General features: G+C 35.3%; 1 long non-coding RNA gene across 1 annotated transcript in view; it reads right to left on the bottom strand.

Annotated features, from left to right (window-relative positions):
- The window catches only part of LOC105377981 (uncharacterized), a 58,946-nt gene that overhangs the window by 11,212 nt on the left and 31,938 nt on the right, over window positions 1-15,796 (bottom strand). The window contains exon 2 of the long non-coding RNA XR_942943.3: window positions 2,295-2,394. This is a non-coding gene — a long non-coding RNA (uncharacterized LOC105377981). The remainder of the gene's footprint in view (window positions 1-2,294; window positions 2,395-15,796) is intronic.

Genomic DNA, 15,796 nt, shown 5'->3' with positions numbered 1-15,796 from the left:
TGTGAGCCACTGCACCTGGCCTAGTTTTTTTTTTTTTTGGTAGAGTTTAAACCTCTTTGGGTTTTGATTTTTTGAACACCTTTATCCATTCATCTCCCATTCTTCTAGAAACTAGCTATATCCTATTATCCTTGAGCTCTCTGCTCAAATATCACTACTTCCTGGGTATTTCTTCCCTCTCAAATTCTGACTTATTTCCTTTATAGCACTTATATTGAAATGCATATATCTTATACGAATAGTTTCTGTAGTCTGTACATACAAATTAACTTCATATTGACAGTAATGCACATTTTCTGTTTTTGCCCACATCTTGTACCCACGAAACTCTATTGCCCATTCTCCCATGAATATTTCTGAAAATCTTTGAAACAAGTCAGTGCATCAGTCAGCAAATATTTTTTTGAGGACCTATTATGATGCCAGGCAATACTTTAGATTCTAGGAATAGGGAGATGAAAACGTTGGAAGGCCTACAGGATTATAAGACATTCAGTAAACACACAAACACATACATAATTTGAGACTGCAGGTAAATGCTAAAAACAGTCAAACAAGAAACTCTGGCAGATTAACTAAGTTGAGGGGCTGAAGGGGAGAAAGGGGCAAGAAGAGGTCACTGTTTTGGCAATTGTGAATTGACCTGAATGGTGAGAAGACAGCCATGCAATCATCTGCAGGTAGATAATTTCAAGCCAAAGGAACATACTAATGTCTTGACTTGAGATCAAGCTTGGCACAGGCAGAAACGAGGGTCTTGTCATAGCAGCATTAGTTGTAGAGATAAAAAGGAGATCAGAGAGGTATTCAGGGCCATGTCGTGCAAGGCCTTATAGGCATAGCAGGAGATTGGATATTATTCTGGTTGTAGTGGGAAGTCATGGAGAGTTTGAACAGGACAGTGATCTAGTTTGATCACTGGTTCATTTGTTTTGGTGAGATGAGGGGACTCACGTGTTCTCACAAACAAACATCTCCCATATAGTCAATGCATGGGTGATGCACAGGGTCTTTCAGAACCTTAAAAATGAAATAGCTAAAACACAAAGCTTGCAATTTCTGGTTGCCTTTCAAAAATGGACTCTGCTGCATCATTATGTTAATAGACTCCCTGTCTTCTAGGGGCAAACAAGGGTAGTGGCATTGGAAACCTCACTTTGTTTCCCCAGTGTTAGTCTGGTTCTCCTTACTTGTCCATAATCTTTTTAGAGCTACGGTTGTAACTTGTTCACTATTACATCCCCAGGTGCACAGTACCTGAGTAGGACTCAATTACTGTTTGTTGAAGGAAGGAAAATTTATGGAGGTAGAATGGAGAATTTTAATGTTCTCTCTACACAATTATTAACTCTTCATAGGGTCAATTTATATTCCCCAGTGTCCATCATTCATTTCCCTGAAAGAGTGGTGCACAGCTCACTGCAATATTCTGACATTTGGGACAAATAATCAGATCTTCTTGGAACATTTGAGCTTTCATTCCTCTAACCCTGACTGACTAGACGAAAACTCTGTATTGCTTATGTTTACTCAGATCCTTATGCAGAAAACATACAAACAACAACAAACCCTTTATTAAAGTAAACTTGAAGAAGTTCACTTGGATTGAAAAGGCATGTATTTTTTCATTTACATTTGGAAATTCAAATGACAGGATCTAGAGTTCTAGGATAGAGTGGTGATTGACAGTAATGAGCAACAATTCAGAAAAGAGAAACATATTGCAAGAGTCACAAAACCTCTAATGCCCCAAACATTTTCCCTTTTTTAAAAATTGGTCCTTTTTGCATTATCTTTTTTTTTTTTTTTTTTTGTCAGAAGAGTTGTAGCTGCCATTCTAAGTTCAGTTTCTTTTGCATTCATGCTCACTAAAAAACAAAACTGCAAAATACAAGAGCTCTACATTTATGTTCAGATGAAAGGCTGAAATCCCAAACACAGAGAATATTGACAGCTCTGACAGATCCATCTCTGACATTAACAGTCAAAGATGGTTGCATGGAAACACTAACAGTCAAAAATAACTCCTTTTGTTATAAAAAATAATGAGAAGGAGATGAATTGAAAGGCTTTGAGACTCGACTGAGTATCACAAAGATTATTCTAAAGTTTTGGGCCTGACATTTTGTCTACTACTAGTTTTCATTCTAAAATTTTCAAAATGAGCCTCAGAGAAATTTACTTCACAGGTTGCTAATTGAAGCTTAGAAGGGAAAACTGTAACTTTCTCACAATGGCACTTTAAAACATTTAGTTCTAAGTTTTCCTACTGTGATCGATACTCTGGGTCTTACCTTAACTCATTCACCATCTTCCTCAGGGCACTAGAGTTGTATTTCCACTTTTTGGTTTCACTTTCTCAGTTCTGTTACAATCGTTGTCTACAGAGCTTTCCTGAAACAGAATTCTCATTTTTAAAAAGTGATATTTTATGCCACAGTTTGACAAAAAGACAGAAATTAAGAAGGGGAAAAACTTAAAGACAGTTTTTAAGATTCAGGAAATACACTAAGAGTTATATAGTTCTGTGAAACCATCAAGGTAGCTATTTAGGAAAGATTTTAAAAAGCGGTTGTTTAATGGGATTTTTCACCTTCTAGTGAGATATATCGGCAGCCTATAGCAAGCCCTGTTTCTGAAAAGTTCGACTTGTTTGAAGAAAATGGACATTTTCATAGTTTAAGAAGGACTGAAATTCAGCTGAACTCATTTCGTATATCTATAAATAACTGTTTATTGAAATTTACCTTCTCACAAATTCTATTTCGTTTCTACACACAAAACTCTGCCTGAAAAGCGCCTCTCATTAATATGTATTGGAATTATTTAGTTCCCTAATTTTCCCCCCTGTTTCTTTCTGTGTTCTCCAAGCATACTGTTTCACCTTGGGGAAATTAAGAGCCATTCATTTTTGAGCCACCTTTGAAATTTAAGCTGCTTTTTGCATTTTTATCAAACTGATTCTCTGACTTTTTTTTCTGGCCTAAACTGAGCTTATTTTAACAGAAGACAAGAGATTAATGATGTTGTTTGATTAATAACTTGGTATATCCGAAGGTAGGTTAAACTGAGGCTACGTACTCTCTTCCCAGGCCCTCATCCTTATTAAAAAAGCCATCAAATTTTTCATAGTTTTCTATGCTGCTTTTAAAATACACCAATACACTGTGGTATAGTTTTCAAATTAATAGCTATACATTTGTACTTTTTGTTCACCTATATTTTTCAAATATTACCTTTTCTGAACAACTCTTACAGGGGTCCTAGGGCAGCAGGACTTGGAGAACTCTAAGAGATGCTCTTGGCTGCTTGCCATATCTCACACCATGGGAATCAGACTTACTCAAGACAAGAGAGGCTTCATAAAGATTTCCTTCAATTTTTTCTCACCTCCCAACACAATAATCTATTGCAAATATTAGTATATGATTTGGACAGAATGAGAGAAATATTAAAGGAGACTACTGGCTGTTACGACCTGACTGCATTGGGTACTCTTGCAAATGGGTAGGTGGATTGTCGTGCGTAAGAGCATGGTCTCTGGATTCAATGGCTTGGGTCTGCACTGAGGCTTTGCCATGGACCAGCTGGGTGACCTTGAGACACTAACTGCTTTCCTTTGTGCCACAGGTTCTTTATTAGCAAAATGGGGAATAATGAACCCTACCTCATAGGGTTCTCACAAAGATTAAATCAATTAATACATGTAAATCACTTAAAACATGCCTGGTCTATATTAATCCTGTCTTCATATTTGTGCTTTGTTACTGATCCTTTTGAATTTTGTTTATTGTAATATTTTAAAATATTCCATTAAAATATTATTTTGTCTGATTACTGAGTTTTTTGTCTCTCCCTTACATTTTACACCAGAGGTAAGTGTCTTGCTCCTTTCATACTAATCCTTGCCCTATTTCCTATATTATTACAATTACTGGCTTTCTTGATGTTCCTGGTCAAATTTGAAAACAAAAAAGTGTTTTTTTTTTGTTCTGATCATTTCAACTGTAAAATAGATAGGGCATGTAGAAAATAGATTTTAATAAAGGTATACATCTTGAAGTTTTAATACAAAGCAAGTAAATGCACGTGTAACCACCACCTAGATCAAGAAAGAAACATTGCCAGCATCTCATGCACCCTCCCAATAAAGATCCATTTCTCCTTCTGAAAGGTTGACTTGTATCCTAACATTTCTGGTAATTGTTCCCACGACTTATTTGATTGCTGTCTATCTAAGTATGTGTTCTCAAATATTATCTTACCTGGTCTATTTAAAAAAATGATACAAATAGAGAGATGCACATACAATATGTATTCTTTTATGTCTCTTTATTTTATTTAAAATTAGGTTGTGAGATTTACATAAGTTGTTATAGCTGTAGTTCATTTAATTTCCTTGCTGAATAGTAATTCAGTGTATCAATACACCACAACTTATTCATTCTACCATTGATTAATTTTGAATTTGTTTTCAATGTTTGGCTATTATTAGCAATACTACTAGGACCACTCTTGAATAAGTCTCTCGGGCACGTGTGGTATATGTGCTTGCATTTATATTAGGTACGTGCTTGAGAGTGGAATTAGTATTAGTGCTGGTTTTCTGAAAATGTTTTATCAGCTTTTACCTGTTAAACTAATTTTTTAAATTTAATAGTGTATCAGGAAATTACTTTGTATTTTCTATATACATAATCATGTCAACTGTATTTGTGACATTTGGATTTCTTCCTTTCAAATCTTTCGACATATTATTATTTCCTTATTACAATAAGACCATCATCTTCACGACATGTTGGTTAGAAAAGTCTGTTATGTTCCCAGGTTCACAAGGAAAGCTTTTGACATTTAATAATCAGATGAGTTCTTTGCTATAACATTGGTGTAAGGGCCATTTGTCAGATTAAGAAAGGTCCTTAATGTTTTTAAACATGCATACATACATCAAATAATATTTTCTTATATCAAAAAATTTTTGTACATTTGTTGAGATGGTCATATGAGTTTTCTCCCTTATTTGGTTAATATGATAAATTATATTAATGATTTTCTAATGTTAAGCCAAACATATGCCTGGGGTAAACCCAAATTAGACATGGATGCAGCATCTTATTATATATTCTGGGGTAGTTTTCTATTTTTTTTTTTTTTGCTTAGGACTTCTGCATCTATACGTATAAAGAGGCTGGCTGACTTGCAATTTTTTTCTTGTGATTATTATTTCTAGTTTTTTATTGAGGTTATTATGAACTGTTAAAACATATTTTAGAGTAATGATTTGTTATCTAGTCTCTAGAAGATTTTGTGTTAAAACTTGCATTCATTTTTTCTTAAATATTTAGTAGGATTTACAAGTGAAGGTATCTGGGTCTGGAGTTTTTTCTTTGAGAAAATTTAAAATTATGGATTTAAATTTATTTTTTCCAGATATCTATAGTTTCTAGATCTTCTTTTGTTAGCTTTTATAATTTATATTTTTCTAAAGTTTTGTGTACTAGTTTGTTCTTGCATTGTTATAAGAAGTACCTGAGACTGGGTAATTTATAAAGAAAAGAGGTTTAATTGGCTCATGATCCTGTAGGCTATACAAATGTGGTACTAGTGTCTGCTTGGTTTCTGGGGAGACCTCGGGAGGCTTTTACTCATGGCAGAAGGTGAAGTGGAAGCAGGCACATCACAAGGTGAAAGCAGGAGCAAGAGAGAAAAAGTTGGGGGTGGGGTTTGCCACACAATTTTAAATGACCAGATCTCATGAGAACTCACTCAGTATCATGAACACAGCACCAAGGGGATGGTACTCAGCCATTCAAGGGAAATCCACCCCTATGATCTCATCACCTCCCACCAGGCCCCACTTCCAATACTGGGGATAACAATTCAACATGAGACTTGGTGTGGTCATATACGTAAACTGTATTGATTTCTAGTTATCTTTTGCTGTTGCTAACTTAACTGTTTAGTGACCAGATAATATATTCTGTATTGTTTTAGTACTCTGAAATATTTTGAGATTTGTTTTATATATAGTTTCGCATATAATCAATTTTTAATATTATGTCTCATTTTAAAAAGAATGTTTCTTCTGTAGCTTTGAGTAGACTGTAGGGTACATATCCAATTATGGTGTTTATGGTGTTCAAATATTTTATATTGCTGTATCTTTCTGATTCTATTTTGTCCTTTTATTTGATCAGCTAGTGAGAGATGTGTGGGTTTACCTATTTTTCCCATAAAGTTGTTTAGATTGTGGCTTTATATTCTTCAAACTATGTTATTAGGTGCATACAAATTTAATATTGTAGCTTCCGGGTTCATTTTAACTTTTTTCCACTATGAAGTGCCCTTTTTTATTTTTAGCCATGCTTTCTGCCTCAGAGCTGTCTTTGATATTAACATAGTCACATCTGCCTTATTTGGTTAATAGTACAAAGTATAACTTCTTCATCTGTTAACTTTTCATATTTCTGTATCATATTTCAGATGAGGGCTTTATAAAGAGTATATAGTTGAGTTTTGTATTTTTAATTCTGTTTTTATCTTTGAAACAGAGTATTTAGTTATTTTTATGTTTAATGTAATTTAATTTAATGTAATTACCAATATCTTTTAGCTTCGCCATCTTACTCAGCCATTTCTATTTGTCCTTCCTGTTTTGGGTTTTCTCTCCCATCTGGCCTTCTTTTAGATTGAGTTTTTAAATATTTCTTTTCATCTCCTATTAGCTTGGATGATATGCAGTCTTAAGATTCTTGTACTGTTCGCCAGAGAAAACTTCATTCTTCACTTACCAAAGTCTCATACTAATTGTTATTTTCACCCTGATCCTGAACAACTCAAGGAACTTGGAACACTTTAACTATGTCATTGTTTTATGTAATTTAATTATGTTCTATATTTTGAAGGCCACAAGGCATCACTGTTACTGTTTTATATGATCAGTATCACTGAGATATTCTCAAATGTTTACCTTTTTTGTTGCTTCTTAATTCTTTTTCAAAGTGTTCTCTTTATATGCAATTAAACAGTGACTTTTAGAATTTTTTTTCATTATAGGCAGGCTCATGATTAAGTCTTCACATTTTATATTCCTGAAAAGGTCTTAATTTTACCTGCATTTTTTAAAGATATTCATAGTTGGGAATAGAATTCTAAGTTATCAGTTTTCTTTCAGCATTCTAAAGAAGTAATTTTATTTTTGTCTGGCTTACATTTTCCTGCTTAAAAGTCAGTTTTAAATCTAACTGATGCTCCTTCTAAGATAACTTTTCTTGTTTTCTCTTGCAGTATTTACATTTTTTTTTTTGTCCTTGGTGTTCAGTGGTTTTACTGATATGTCTGTGAGAAGTTTTTTTGTATTCATTCTGTACAGTTTCTCATACTTCATGAATCTGTAACTTACTTGATGACCTTCTTCAGTGTTAGAAAGTTATTAGTCATTATATTTTAAAATATCACCTGTCTCCAATTTTATATCTAATACACATTCTCTCGATCAGCTTTGTCTTGCATCCCATCATCTGTATTTTCCAGCTGATTCTCTCAGCTTTAGTCTGGAGATATATATAGTTACTTATCTATGGCAGAGCCTAATCTGCTATTAAAACTATCCAATGAATCCTTTATTTGAGTTATTGACTTTTTCAGTTCTAGGATTCCCTTTAATTCTGTAGTTTTAAAAATTCTCCCTCAAAATTCTCCCTCTTGTCTTTTATCTCCTTGAACACAGTTAAGTATAATTATTTTAAAATCAATATTTGATATCTCCAATATCAGAGGCTTTTAGAGACTTCTTCCACTGTTATTTCTGCTTCTGTGTGTTCATGCTATCTTGCGTCTCTATTGCCTGAGTATTTTTAAACTGTGTCTTTGAACAGTATTTGCAAGCATTTGGTAAAAATAAACTCTGGCATAGAATATTATCTTCCTCCAGAGAGGATTTATATTTTATTATTATTATTGCTTTGGCCAGGTATCTTAGGGAAACAGCTTTTCGAAATTATCCTAATACAATTTCTGGATTAAATATTACGTGAGTTTGAGCTGCCATCCTTGTAGGACCCTATTTTCTTTTCTTTTTTCTTTTTTTTGGTTTGGTAACTTTTTATTGTATATATATTTTTAAGGTGTACAACATGGTATTTTCATGTACTTAGCTTGGTATACATAGTGATTATTAAAGTCAAGTAAATTAACATACCCATCATCTCATATAATTAGCTTTCTTTTTTTTCTTGTGCTAAGACTACCTAACATCTCCTAGCAAATTATCAGTATATTATACAATATTATTAATTGCAGTTCTCATATTGTACATTAGAACTCCAGACTTATGTATCCTATAAAAGTGCAGTTTTATACCCTTGGACCTACAACTACGCATCCCTTCCTACCCTCTGCATTACTGCTGTTTTACTATTTCTCTGTATTCAGTATGTATTTTTTTTTTTAAGATTACACTTGAAAGTGAGACTATGCATTATTTTCTTTCTTCATTCATCTGGCTTATTTTACTTAACATAATGTCTTCTAAGTTCATCCATGTTGTAGCAAATGGCAGGCTCTCCTTCTTTTTAGGGATGAATAATATTTCATTTTATATTTATGTAATATATAACAAATCACACACACATACACACACAACACACCACAAATTTCTTTATCCATTCATTAATCTATTAAGGGGTGCTTAGATTGTTTCTATATCTCTGGAGCCTGTCTGTTTTTGATTCAACTTTACTCCTAGGGTACAACTTTACTCCTAGCCTTTCAGTGAGAGAAGTTCAGAAGTTCCATTCTCTTTTGTGAGGACCTGTACTCCAAATCCTTGTTCTCATGCATGAACACTGTCAAAAGTACCACTCATTGTCTCAACTTTCATCTGTTCCTTCTGAAATAAGAAAGAACCCCACAGGAAGACAAGCTCATAACTTGGGCTTCCTTTGTCACTGGATTACTGCCAATTAATCATTGTTTCACTAGTTCTAAAATACAGGTGTTAAAATATATGTTTTCCTGGTTATCCAAGATTTTCTTGTCTTTGGTGGGAGAATTGGTGCAAATTACCTCATCTGGCATTACTAGAAGTGGAATTACTTTTCCTATATAAACCCATTATGCCAGATAAGCAAAAATATCTACACAGTTTAAAGCCACTGAAACTGAATCCAATTTCTTGAGGCCTTGTTTGTTTAACAGAAAAACTCTAACTTAATTAGGAAAGCCTTTTTACAAACACAAAACCATCCAAAACTATCCAGTCTTAAAGGGTTCAGGCAAATATTGGAAAAGAGATGTCATCTGAAGGTTTTTCTCCAAGTTCAATTTCAGTTCTATTTAAATATTTGTATTGTTACTATTATAACTCATACCAAGGTCATGGAACTATGCTAGTTATAGAGATACAATGTGGCTGTGTGAACAAAATAGACAAAGCTGTTGATCTAAAGAAGTTTAGAGAGACATGATGAAAACATCTAGGACTAAATGAGATAATTGGTAAAAAGTTATTGGTAATTAAATGGATAACTGGTAAAAAAGCACAGTTCTAGGCATATAGTATGTACTCAAACACTGTTTTTATGTATCAGTATACACAGCCATTTCCAAAGAGCTGACAATACCTAGGCCCTTGTGGACCTGTGTCCCTACTGAGTAATTTATGGGAATGAGCAACAATGTGCAAACAGATTAGGCAATGGGAGGGCTCTCTGTAGTCATGTGTTTTGATTGTGAACTTTTATTAACTTTTCTACTTGGTTCAAAATACATGCTATGGTCTGAATGTTTGTGCCTTGCCCAAGTTCATGTGTTGAAATCCTGACCCCTCCAAGGTGATATTGAGGACCTTTGGGAGGTGATTGCGTCATAACATGGCAGAATCCTTCAGAATAGGATTAGTGCCTTATAAAAGCTGCTCCAGAAAGCTGTCTTGCCCCTTCCACCATGTGAAGACATAGTGAGACAAGATTACCTATGAACCAGGAAAGAGGGATCTTGGACTTCTCACACTTGCTCCAGAACTAGGAGAAATAAATTTCTGTTGTTTATAAGCTACCTACTCTATAGCATTTTGTTATAGCAGCCTGGATAGACTAAAACAATATGGGAAGATGTTTTTATAGGTACATAGAGCAGCACATTTTTATTTTGCCTCAAGCTCCAATATGGCTCTGTATAGCACTTACTTGACTGTCTGATGAAAACAGAAATGGAGGAGACATTGATGGGTGCTAACATTTCCAATGAATGAGAGGGTTTGCTGGGACATAGATGGCAGTGACAAGATGGAGTATGTATAGTAAATACATGAATTTTGAAGAAGAGGGAGAAACCTTTCTAAAAAGATAATGAGAAGTAAGACAGACCCCACAAAATATCTCTAGGTGTTAAGGTACAAGATAAAATATTGCTTGCTTGACAGACTGCATGAGAAAAGGTATCCTCAAGGAATGGTCAGTCCTTGATGAAAGTGTAATGGGAAAGAGAACACAAAAATGATGAGACTTTTGTGGAGGACAGACTATGTGACATGGTTTGGCCATGTCCCCACCCAAATCTCATCTTGAATTTTAACTCACATAATCTGCATGTCATGGGAGGGAGCCAGTGGGAGGTAATTAAATCATGTGTGCAGTTTTCTGTGCTGTACTTGTAATAGTGAATAAGTCTCATGAGCTCTGATGGTTTCATAAAGGGCAGTTCTCCTGCACATGCTGCCTTGCCTGCCACCATGTAAGATGTGCCTTTGCTCCTCCTTTGCCTTCCACTATGATTGCGAGGTCTCCCCAGCCATGTAAAACAGTGAGTCTATGAAACCTCTTTTTCTTTATAAATTACTCAGTCTCAGATATGCTTTTATTAGCAATGTGAGAACAAACTAATACACTATGGTTTTAAGATGGTACTGTGGCATCTTTCATGTGTAGTTTTTGAGGAAAGTGAAAACAATTAGTTCTTGCTTCTTTTCAAAGTATGTATGACATTCTGAACCAGGGATAACTACATGTTACTTTTTTTCTTCATTTTTAAAGAGATTATTCTCTCCACCATTGTATATTAAATGACTATAGATTGATTAAATGTATCATTTAACTCTAGGTTCAGGGTTATAAAAATAAAAACATCTAGACCAGATCAAGAGCTTTGTCCATTATCCAGAGATGAATTAACTGATATGACTTTGTGTTTCAGCCCTTTGGTGAGGAGGTTAAATGCGTCCTACTTGTATGTGGGATAGTTGTATTGGAAGGATGGGACATTTCACATATATATGACTGAAAAATGTACACACGATTGTATGTGTGTGTTTTCTCATATATGCAATAAAGAGGGAACATCTGTTTTGTTGGCTTAGTACAGTTGATCCTTGAACAACATGGGTTTGAACTGTGTGGGTCCATGTATATGCGGGCTTTCTTCCACCTCTGTCACCCCTGAGACAGTGAGATCAACCAACCCCTCTTCATCCTTTTCCTCAGCACACTCAACATGAAGACAATGAAGACCTTTTTGATGATCCACTTTCACGTAATAAATAGTAAATATCTTTATGATTTTCTTAGTAACATTTTTTTTTTTTTTGAGATGGAGTCTCACTCTGTTGCCGAGGCTGGAGTGCAGTGGTGTGATCTCGGCTCACTGCAAGCTCCGCCTCCCAGGTTCAAGCAATTCTCCTGCCTCAGCCTCCCAAGTAACTGGGATTACTGGTGTCCACCACCATGCCTGGCTAGTTTTTTTTTGTATTTTTAGTAGAGACAGGGTTTCACCATTTGGCCAGGCTGGTCTTCATCCCCTGACCTTGTGATCCACTCTCCTCGGCCTCCCAAAGCACTGGGATTACAGGTGTGAGCCATCGTGCCTAGCCAATATTTTCTTTTCTCTAGCTTATTTTATTGTAGAATACAGGATATAATACACAGAACAGACAAATTGTGTGCTAATCAACTGTATGTTATCGGGAGGGCTTCTGGTCAACAGTAAGCTATTAGTAGTTGGGTTTTGGGAAGACAAAGTTACATGCAGATTTTCGACTGTATAGGGGTCGGTGCACCTAAACTTCAGGTTGTTCAAGGGTCACTATCTTCTGGCAATAACATCTCCTCCTTGGGCCGCTGCTCTTCCCTCATACCCCTATCCTGGACACTTCTGAGAGGCTGCCAATCATTGCACTGAGCCCACGGGCCATAAGATTTGGTTAGCTTGGGCCTATCAAAGTGTTCCATTCTCCTGGTCAAGATATTGATCAGGAAATGTACATATATTTTAAGCCAGACCATCACTAAGGGCCCATTTTTATAATTTTTATATACAGAGATTTGGAAAAGATAATCATCTCTTTCTTCTGAGATAATAATCTTTATTGATCTGAATGAACCTGGGGCTATCTGTAGTCATGCCCATAACTTGCCCCATCACATGGAAAATGTCTTTAAAAAATGTGAATGGAGCAAATATATAGATAGAAACAGAGCTGAAAAATGGAGAAAGAACTGGTGATATTATTCACATCCTTTATTTCAATGATATGTAAGACCACCCACCTCTTTTTAGGATTCAGAGTAGACCAAAGGGGATTTATATTTATGATAAATGGGATTCTTGTTCAAATCCAGAAAGGCTGGATAAGGGGGTAAGAAACCCAGCAAGGAGTAATGTAAAGATCACTGGGCTGAGATTCTAGTTTAGGCTCTTTAATAATTTATATACATGTGGGTAAATTAACACCTTTCCAAGTGTTAATTCTTTCCCCTGTAAAATGCCAACATTAGCTTTAACTATTTCTAATATCCTTAAAACTGTAAATGTGCATATTCTAAACATCTGTAAACTAATCATACTTTGAAATAAGTGCCACCTGTGAGTAGGTAGAAACTTAATAATTTTTTGATAAGAATATTTTATTTTTTCTTTTAATTTCCTTTGCTTTTAAGCTTTCTGTTAAAAAAAATAGGATGCTGCTAGATTAATCTAGTGGAATGTAAATGCAATCAGTGACTAAATCAAACGTGTCTGTAGTCCACAACATTTCCAAAGCAAAAACAAAATTATAGATCTTTCTAATTTGAACCAGCTGAAATAACTGCTGATTTTTATAGTTGGAATGATATAGTGAATTGTCAGAATTGTCTCTGCAGATTATAATGCTGAGCACGTATGTACGTAAAGACACAGCAGCCCCTACCCTAATTTAGAGGTTTGTGAGGTTTGGCATTGGCTATGCCCCTGTTTGTCCCTTCAGTGAGATCTCAACCTTCTCAATCAGTCCCTCTGACTCCCTTTTCAAGCTCATGGCACTGCGATTCATCATAAGAACCAACAGGTAAGCTGTAGTGGCTGCATGGACTGTGATGTTGGACAGGGTTTCAAGACAGTATCCAGACTCTTGAGAGAGGATGCTACAATAAATAAACAATATCTGTAAAGGGCACAAGCCTGAAAACCAGGGCTTGTATGGCAGGATATGCCATACAGTTGCTAACTTAATTTTGTATTCCAAATGTTATTCCCGTTTTGATTGAAAATAGCTTTCAAATTTAATTTTTAAATTACAGGACAGACTCTTTGATTTGTATACAACAGGCTTCTCTACTGGGTGACACATTTTGGGACAAGGGCGCTTTCTACATTATTCTTCATATCCAACCATCTATTCTACTTACTGACCATCCAGGACAGCATGGATTTATATCCCTAGTGTCGTTCACAACTCTAATTTGTTCCCAGTGTGAAATATCACTCATATTGGTTTGAAATTATATTCTAAACTTAAAGCCCACGATTTCTGTGTGGGATGTAAAGTTGACAAAACACGTACATTTTTCCTAATGCAAATCCTACATGCGTTGACTTTGAGGTAGTCAGGCTGACACTGTTGGGGGCGTGTAAGACAGAAAATAACTCCTGTTAAATAAAAGCATAAGAAGTGAGGAAAGAGAAGCAGATCTGTTTTGTTAAATGGAATTTTTAGAGACAGAGTAAATGGTTCTGGTTTGTTTTGAAGGAGATTAAGAATAAAAATGAAGTATTTAAAATGAGAGTGAATACATGTTAAGAGGTCAAGGAAAGCTGACAATCTGCCAGTTGTGACAACACTTAATAATATTCAAATTAATTGTAATATTGAAAATGAAAAATTCTGACTGCAAATGAATAATGAATAACAAAACCAGACACGGCTCTTAGGTGAAATGTGATTTTCATGAGGATGGGAACATTTAACATTTATACAGCAGTTCATATTCTCAAAGTCATATATCAGTGACAACTGTAAAATACATCTTTAATTTGAATTGATGAAACACTCTGCAGGGGTACGTTCAGGTGGTCGTCCACTCCCCTCTCCAAATAAAATGAGAGAAAGAGAGAAGAGATTTGAATAAAGAAATACTTAAAAACTACTTATAAAAATGGAAGTCATATGCCCTGATATCCAATCATAGAAATGATTTCATTCTTGGTAGGTACGTCTTTGTTCTTCATTCACATGAATATTCATAAGCTGCCACAGCTCTTCATGTATTTAGAAGTACAAGGGTAATCCTCATTCTGAATGCAAAAGGATTGATTTATAAATATGCACTGTAATCCTTAGATACTACTTTAAATAAAGGCCCTTTAGATTATGTATCTTCTCCCAAACTCTCATATCTGTACTGTTCTTCCCATTTCCTTGCCTCGGTTGAACTTTAGCTAAAATTTTCTTGAAGGCCAAACTTTCTAAAGATTTTGTTTCAACCATCTAATGATCTGTTCTCATGCTCAATCTACTATCACAGCTACGGAGAACCCCAAAACAGTGGGGTGGTGGATACTTCATTCCTAGTAACAGGGTTTTAATAGGATGTCACTGCCATCCCACAATTCTACCCACTTACAGTTAAGTATGACCAAGAATCAAATTTTCCGCATGGACTGGAGCAGTAGCAATTCATGTCACTTCCAGGCTTGATTCACATGCCCTTTCTCATGGCCTTTCTTCTGGCTGGAGTGTTAATGTCCAGAGCAATTTGGGAAGTCACATAATTGATTGCAGAAGTGCCAATATCCTGTATCTCTAAATGCCCCTATAGAGAATAGCTGCCCTCGAACCTGGAATACCTCCTTGGACTTCTGTAATGACTGTGAAATACATCTTTAGTTTGAATTGATGCAACATTCTGCAGGGGTACATTCAGGTGGTAGTCCACTCCCCTCTCCAAATAAAATGAGAGAAAGAGAGAAGAGATTTGAATTAAGAAATGCTTAAAAATTACTTTTAAAAATGGAAGTCAAATACCCTGATATCCAATCATAGAAATGGTTTCATTCTTGGTAGATTGAGTGTCAACAGGAGACGGAAGTAAGTTTTATTTTATTTTTGAGGCGTATTTAAAGGTCTTCTTGGTTTTTCCACTTGACTTACCCTAATTAATACAAGTCTGGATTTGTTACTACAAATGTATGGTCTCTAAGCCCAGTGGCCTCTCACTAGCATTGTGCAGCCATTATGGAGCTGCTTCTTGCTTTACCTCTGCAGCTTTTTGAAACTTTCAGAACTCTCTTCAAGGTATCCTTCCATTTTCACCCTTTGTTTCTCAGCAGATTACATTGACTTACAGAGAAAATAATGCCACAAGGCATGAATTCCTTTAATTCTCTCCTTTCACAACTAAAAAATTATCCATGTTTGTGCCAAATCTTACTTCTTTTCTTTTAGATTTATGAAGAATTTTATTTCTCTTTAAAAGTATTCTCCATATGAGCTCTAATTTTACCCTTCCATCTGCTTCAAACTCCTTCTCTATTTCTTATAGTT

This window comes from Homo sapiens, chromosome 6, assembly GCF_000001405.40.
Source record: "Homo sapiens chromosome 6, GRCh38.p14 Primary Assembly".
Classification (NCBI taxonomy): Eukaryota; Metazoa; Chordata; class Mammalia; order Primates; family Hominidae; genus Homo; species Homo sapiens.
The sequence above is the reverse complement of the archived record's forward strand: the minus strand, read 5'-3'. Positions and strand labels throughout refer to the sequence as shown.